This window comes from Homo sapiens, chromosome 1 (genome assembly GCF_000001405.40).
Source record: "Homo sapiens chromosome 1, GRCh38.p14 Primary Assembly".
Classification (NCBI taxonomy): Eukaryota; Metazoa; Chordata; class Mammalia; order Primates; family Hominidae; genus Homo; species Homo sapiens.
Window position 1 is genome coordinate 161,496,500 of NC_000001.11, and position 7,312 is coordinate 161,503,811.

The 7,312-nt window shown below is 39.7% G+C and overlaps 1 annotated feature.

Annotated features, from left to right (window-relative positions):
* Positions 6,507–6,828: a transcriptional cis regulatory region, noted in NCBI's record as "candidate enhancer chr1.9514 targeted for multiplex CRISPR interference". NCBI's record gives its function as "positively regulates FCGR2A gene expression with high confidence in K562 cells {active_cell/tissue: K562}" and the evidence as "EXISTENCE:mutant phenotype evidence [ECO:0000015][PMID:30612741]".

Sequence of the window (7,312 nt, forward strand, 5' to 3'; positions counted from 1 at the left end):
CTCTCTTTTTCTTTTTTTTTTTTGAGACGGAGTCTCGCTCTGTCGCCCAGGCTGGAGGGCAGTGGCGCGATCTCGGCTCACTGCAAGCTCCGCCTCCCGGGTTCACGACTCTCAGGTATTCTTGATAATGTATTTGGAAAAATTATCTGTCTTTGACATCTGATACTCTCTCCTGAACACAATTCTTTGTTTGAACTTAAAATTCATGCACCTTCAGCTATAGAGATTTTAAAAATATTTTTAGAAAGCTATGATTTTTTAAATTTATTTTAAATTTTTTTCATGGATATTTTTGCTATCAACATACCAATAACCATCCATCATCCATGACCCCATAGAACCATATCAATTTGGCTGACCTGCTTGATTTTGATACTAGGGGTGGAGAACTAAACACAAGCTATATTGTTCAGAAAGCAGTCAATCAATGGGAACGTAAACATTGTTCTATGAGCCATGGTGAGCATTTTAGTACCAGTTGCTTTGACAATTTTCTAGGCAAATATCATCTTGACTGTATGCAATGGTATTAAACTTCAGGGACAAATTGTTGACTTATTTATAAGTTGATGAAGGTTCTGTGTGCTCTTTGAAGTTCTGGCCTGCAAGAACTTTCTCATCCTATCTTCTAATGAAACAATATAGAAAACTAAACTTTGGGGGAATATTTACCCCCAAAAATCACTTTAGAGAAGCTGATATTAGATAGATAAGCTGATATTACATAGAAAAATCAGTAATTATGATAAAGTCGGATGCTCAACAAATAGTATTCTTGTCTTCCTGTGCCCATTTACCCAATTCAGCAAAAATAAGTGTAATGAATCTATTAGAATTTCTGCCCTAGAGAAACTTTCATTCTGAAGGTCTTACTCTTGAATTATGGAAAAACTAACAACAGAGACAATTAGATACATGGACATGATAAAATATGTCTTGAGTAGGCAGTGCAGATAACTGAATGGAGACAATGAGGTAGAGTAGCATGGGAGAGGTCTGCCTTGGGTCAACTCACAATTCTTTTCTGAGCTGTGGTTTCCTTATTTGTAAAATGAAGGGGTTGGATTTCAATGTTCTATTCCTGTGATTTATAAATAAACCTTCTGCCCTTAAATTCTGATGTCAGCAGCTGGAATTAGCTGTCATCAGATGTCATCCTCCACATTTTTCTCTGTCTTTCCTTTTTTTTTTGGCAATGCATAAATCTATTATAAAATTTATCAAAAATTCAAAATTTTGAGACAAGATGCAGCACTTAAGTACTCTTGCATCCAGGGAGAATAAACATTCCTATGCTTATTTAGGTAATGTTAACTTGAACCCCTAGGAGCCAAACTATATTAGAAACAATTATGGTAAGGGATAACTATAGCTGTTAAGAGGGATTTTGGTAACACTAAACTAACAATTGAGGTTATGCTAATGAAATAATAAAAAATCGATTACAAAGAAAGTTGAGATGAAGAGATTTTAAGAGGGTGTTGAGTACCCCCTTGTACATGTGAAAGTTACCAGGTTACAGCAAAATAAAGGAATTTTGTTTGCAAACCTCTACCTACAAAAAACCTGGGGGCAGGGGCAAAGGCATTCAAGCTTGGAACTCTCAGAAGCCTAAGGGTTCTAGGATTTCTAACTCTCAAGAGAAATGATGAAACTCTGACCATATGGGGAAGGAGTGCAATGCTTCTAAGAAGGGTTCGGAGGGATCTCACACATGAGTTTCCAGATGTCTTCAGCCCCATCAAGGGTATAAGAGCAGCTCTGTCCAATACATATACCACATAAATCACATATATAGTTTAATATTTTCTAGTAGCCACATTAAAAAGAGTAAAAAGAACCAAGATAGTAATTTTATTAATATTTTATATAACCAACATATTCAAAATATCATTTAACATGTAATTAGTATAAAATATTAATGAGATATCTAATATTCATTTTTTCATACTGTTTTCAAAAGCCACTGTGTATTTTATGCTTATAGCACATTTCAGTTTGGACTAACCACATTTTTTAACCACATTTTTTAATAGCCATATGTGGCTGATGACTCCCATCATATTGGACAGCAAAGGTCTGGAGGAAGACAATGTATAAAATTACTAATTCCCCAAAAAGGTCAAGATTGGTCCCTGTTCCCTGGGACCAAGACCTTAGATTACCCAGGACTTCTACCATAACCCACTTTATCCGGGTCAAGAAAGGCCATATATTTGGAGTAATGCGTGGCTTCTCTAGGCAACCTCAATTCCATCAGCTGGGGTCAGCACACTCAGAATGAACTCAGGACTTACAACCAGTCTTTTGTTAACAGGCATCAAGAGAGAGCCCCAGATTACCACTGTCCTCTACATGCCAACACTCATAGCTTCACTGGCATTACTCATCTTGAATATCTCATGATATCCTTTATCCATGTTTATGCCAGTCAACACAAGAAGCATTATTCTCCCAGGTCATCTCCTGCATTCAAATCTGCATAAAACTCTACCACTGACTGCAGTAGCATCAAAGACCCCAAACAAAAATGCCCAACTGAGCCCAGTCAACCCACAGAAGAAGCATAAGAGATAATAAGAAATTGGTTGTTTTAAGCCATTAAGTTTTGGGGTGGTTTTTTATGGTGCAATAAACAACTGAGACATTTAGGTTAAAAATCTTGGACTCATCTCCTTCCCATATCTAGTCTTATCAGGAAATTCTGGTGGTTTTATCTTCATTTTATTTTTTTATTTTCATTTTCTTTTTGAGACAGAGTCTTGCTCTGTTACTCAGGATGGAGTGCAGGGGTGCGATCACAGCTCACTGCAGGCTTGATACCCCAGGCTCAAGCAATCCTCCGACCTCAGCCTCCTGAGTAGCTGGGACTACAGGCGTAGTCCTACCATGGGTGGCTAATTCTTTTGATTTTTTATAGAGATGAGGTCTTGCTATATTGCCCAGGCTGGTCTCAAACTCCTGGGCTCAAGTGATGCTCCCGCCTTGGCTTTCCAAAGTGCTGGGATTACAGGTGTGAGCCACTGTGTCTGGTTGTTCTGTCTTAAAACATGTATAGAATGTAGACTTCCTACTACCTCTATACTACTACCCTAGTACTAGCCTCCATCTTTTCATGCCTGGCTTGCTGCAACAGCGTCCTACTTGTCTCACTGCTTCTGCCCTTGCCCTGCTACAATCTTTTCTCAAGACAGCAATCAGAATGGTCTTTCAAAAACATTTCAGATCATATCATTCCTATGCTCAAAATCTCCCAAAAGTTCCCCATTTCATTTGTGTCAAAGTGAACAATCTCATGAGGTCTTGTGTGATCTGGTCTCTCATTTCCTCTCTGACCTCATTTCCTACCTCTCGCTCCCTCCCTCAGTTCCACTCCAAACAACTCCTGGAACATTCCAGGCATAAAGCAGTTTCAGTTCCTCTCCTGATTGTTCTGTCTGCCAGAAATGTTCTTTCACTAGATAGCCGCAAGCTCAGTTCCTTCATCTTTCAAATCTTTGCTCAACTGTCACCTTCTCACCGTACTTAAAATTGCAATCCACTTCTGCTTCTAATCCCCTTTCCCTGCTCTTTTTTCTCCCATACTTTGTATCATTTCATATAATATTATATACTTATTTAATATGTTTATTATTTACTTTATGTCTCTCTCCAATAGAATGGAAGCTCTCTGAATGCAGGGATTTTTGTCTGTTTTATTTACAAATGTATCTGAGGCATCTAGAACAGTCTAGTACCTGGTAAGCACCCAATAGATACTTGCTGAATGAATGAAAATCTGTTGTCTGGGTGCTCTGAGGCTGTTTCCCAGGCAATTCTCACAATTATACCTGAGGACACCCCTCTGAGGCTCTGTTTGCACTTTGTCATTCTAATGGGTCAGAGGCATATCTAATCACAGGAAAAATAACATTGCCCAATATAATAATGAGAGAAGATATTCTTTTCCAATGGCAGTTGTGCTCAGACACATTTTAACTCTCCTGCCTCAGGGAGCATTTCCTATATATGAACTTCTTCCACAGAAAGGGGAAGACTTTGTATCTTTGTTTTTGTGGGCCATACTGTTTCTATTCCTGATCTTGTTCACAGGTTATCATAATCCTTAAACTCTTTTAGGTCTTTTGCACTAAGTTTGAAATCCTCTTCAACACCACAGGAATGCTGCTCCTGAGATCTGGATGCTGAATAGAATTTCTATAAGTTCTGGAAAACGTGTTGGGGTAGGTGGTTAGGAAATCTTACAGCAGGATTGTTAAAAATCCAAGCCTCGTAGGATTTCCTCCTACAAAGGAACTGCTACAGTTCTGACCACTAACCTGAAATAACAGAACAAGTCACCAGGAGATGTGTGTACACAAGGGCCCTGAATCTTCTTGGAGTGAACTCCTCTTCCCCTGCCTATCATACATTTAAATATTAAATCCAAATACATATTTCTTCTCTCAAGAACTGTTCCTTTACAAAACCTGTCTATAAAGCCTGCAAAAACAACTAATCTTCTTAGGTTCTTTGTAAATTCTATTGCCTGCCTTTCTCAATATCAAAACAGACAAAAAAACAAAAATAAAACCTTGGGCCCCCCTAGAATATGGGATGACTCATGGTACTCTGCTAGGTCACATTTACACACACACACAGAGATACATACACACACAAACACATACAGATACATACACATACACACACACATGCACACATATACACATATATACACACACACATTTTTCTCTAGAAAAATATACCCTTTCCTAATTTTCCCTAGAAGGGGAAAAGTATACATCTATTGGCTTTTGATATGTCATTTAAATTTTTAGTAGGTTCCCTTTTATATTTCTTCCTCAAAAATGCCTTTTTCTTCTATTCTTGTAGTCTGAATTCCAATTTCTGTTCGGTCTCTACTTGCAGTGTGGTAAGACTATAGTGCACTCTCAGCACATTGTGAGTAGTAACAAGCCAAAAACCAGGGGTCATGTCCAGGTTCAGATGCTCATGTGGGAGAGGTAAAATATTGATATATAGAGGCAAAAGTGGAGTAAGGGGGAAGGCAAAGGCTGGAGCTGAAGTTTTGAAAGAAACATACCTTATTTAATGCTACTGACTGCTCAGAAGTCCTAGCATGTTTAATTTGCCAGAACTTCTTAATATCAAATTGCTCTTGTGTCTGAAATCCTGGTTCTCTTGAATTCTCTTTTTTTTTGAGACGGAGTCTCGCTCTGTCACCCAGGCTGGAGTCCAGTGGCACGATCTCGGCTCACTGCAAGCTCCGCCTCCCGGGTTCACGCCATTCTCCTGCCTCAGCCTCCCGAGTAGCTGGGACTACAGGCGCCCGCCACCACGCCCGGCTAATTTTTTTGTATTTTTAGTAGAGACGGGGTTTCACCGTGTTAGCCAGGATGGTCTTGATCTCCTGACCTCGTGATCCGCCCGCCTCCCAAAGTGCTGGGATTACAGGCTTGAGCCACCGCACCTGGCCGGTTCTCTTGAATCCTTTGTTGTGTAGTAATGAATAGTTTTCTATCTTCTTTAGTATTAAGAAATGGCTTTTCTGATCTTCTGAGAAACTAAAACATTATTTCTAATTTTAGATTTCCCCTCACTTCTCAAGGCCTCAAACACAATATCCTCTAATGACATTGTCTTTGGGGTGACCCAAAATTATCATTTATTTCTTACTTATGAGCAGAGAGTTTGCAGCTTTTACTTGCCTTGTCTCTTTTAATACCTACAGCCACCCCCTGGGAGCAGAGGAGGGAGTGTGTATAAAGTATCACATTTCCACAGTTTGCCATTTATTTCCACTTAAGCTGATTACAGGTTGTGTTTACTTTTCGTTATTCCACAGCATCTCTTTAGCTCTGTTTCAATAGTAAATCCCTCCAACGTGCCAGTCTTTCTCCCTCAACTGGATTCGATCTGAAAAGTAACTTAATAAAATCCTAACTGTAGACTCCCTCTCCCTTGGGGTCAAACTAGAACCCCACTGAGGAAGGAACTCCTACAAACAAAAAAGCAGGAGTAGCCCTTCTTGAGCTGGCTTGACATTATTGATTCTGCGTGGGTGCCAACATCCCAGTCATCTCAAAGAGGAGATTTTGTGAATGAAACAACATGAAGAGGTGAACTGTCTTTTGAGAACATAAGCCAGAGGTAGATGTCCTGGGAATGTGAGTGCTACAGCACTGGGTAGGTGAAAGGAGATGCCTACTTCCACACTCAAACAGAACACTGCACCTCATGATTTGCTGTGCAGTGGGAGTGGGTGGTTGACCTAGAGGCTTTGATTCAGACCCACATCACAATTTCCCTCTAGAATCTTCTTATTTAATAACTGCTGACCCTGCTATAATAGGTCTCTGGGGGATACACCAATTCTCTTTCAATGTTCTGGCCAAAGAGTGGACAAAAATCCCTTCCCTTGATTTCCCAAGACTTGGGACTCTCAAGATATTTTACTAAATGACAATGAAAAACAAATAAATTTAAAAAATTATAAAAACAATAATATCCATTGCAGAGGGTACAACAGTTACTTAGGAATGAGGAATACAAAGTATTGTGAAAAGTCTGAAGAATTGACAAATATTTGTGGCTGGTTTCTAGGAAATTTCTCCTTGCTGAGAATAGCTTTATCTGGCTACCCAGAAGGTTTAAGTCCCTTCCACAGAGTCAGTTCCTAGGAGTCACTCAGGATGTGGTCTTGGTGATTGGGCAGAATATATTGCTATAAAGTCTGAGAAAAGTTTTAGGAAAAGTGCTGGGCTCAGTGACTCATGCCTGTAATCCCAGCTCTTAAGGAGGCAGAGGTGAGAGGATAGCTTGAGTCCAGGAGTTCGAGACCTGCCTGGGCAATATAGTGAGCACTCATTCTCAAAGAAAAAAAAACATTTTAAGAAAAGTTTAAACATATTTGTGTTTTTTAAAGGCTACCTTAGATACAAAATCATTGTCCTGAAATTTTACAGTTGGACTGAGGTGGGGTATAGTATATCTCTTGGGTAAGCAGAGTATAGATGGCCTGAGAACAATTTGTTGCTCCTTCCTTTGCCACCTGCATATGTGAGGATAACATTCTTTTGCCTGTATAGAAATGAAGTGTGCATTTAATTTTCAGTGTATGGGTATTCCCCTAGGAATCTCTCTAGTCCTAGCCATGATCACAATGTCTGAATCTACCATAACCAGCCCCCTCTCAGACCCATATACCCTGTCACATTCTCTGTAAGATACTCTCCACAGAATATGTCTCTAGCTCTGCTGGCACCTCCCTGGGGGTCTTTACTAGCTTACTCCCAACTTGCCACTCCATGGA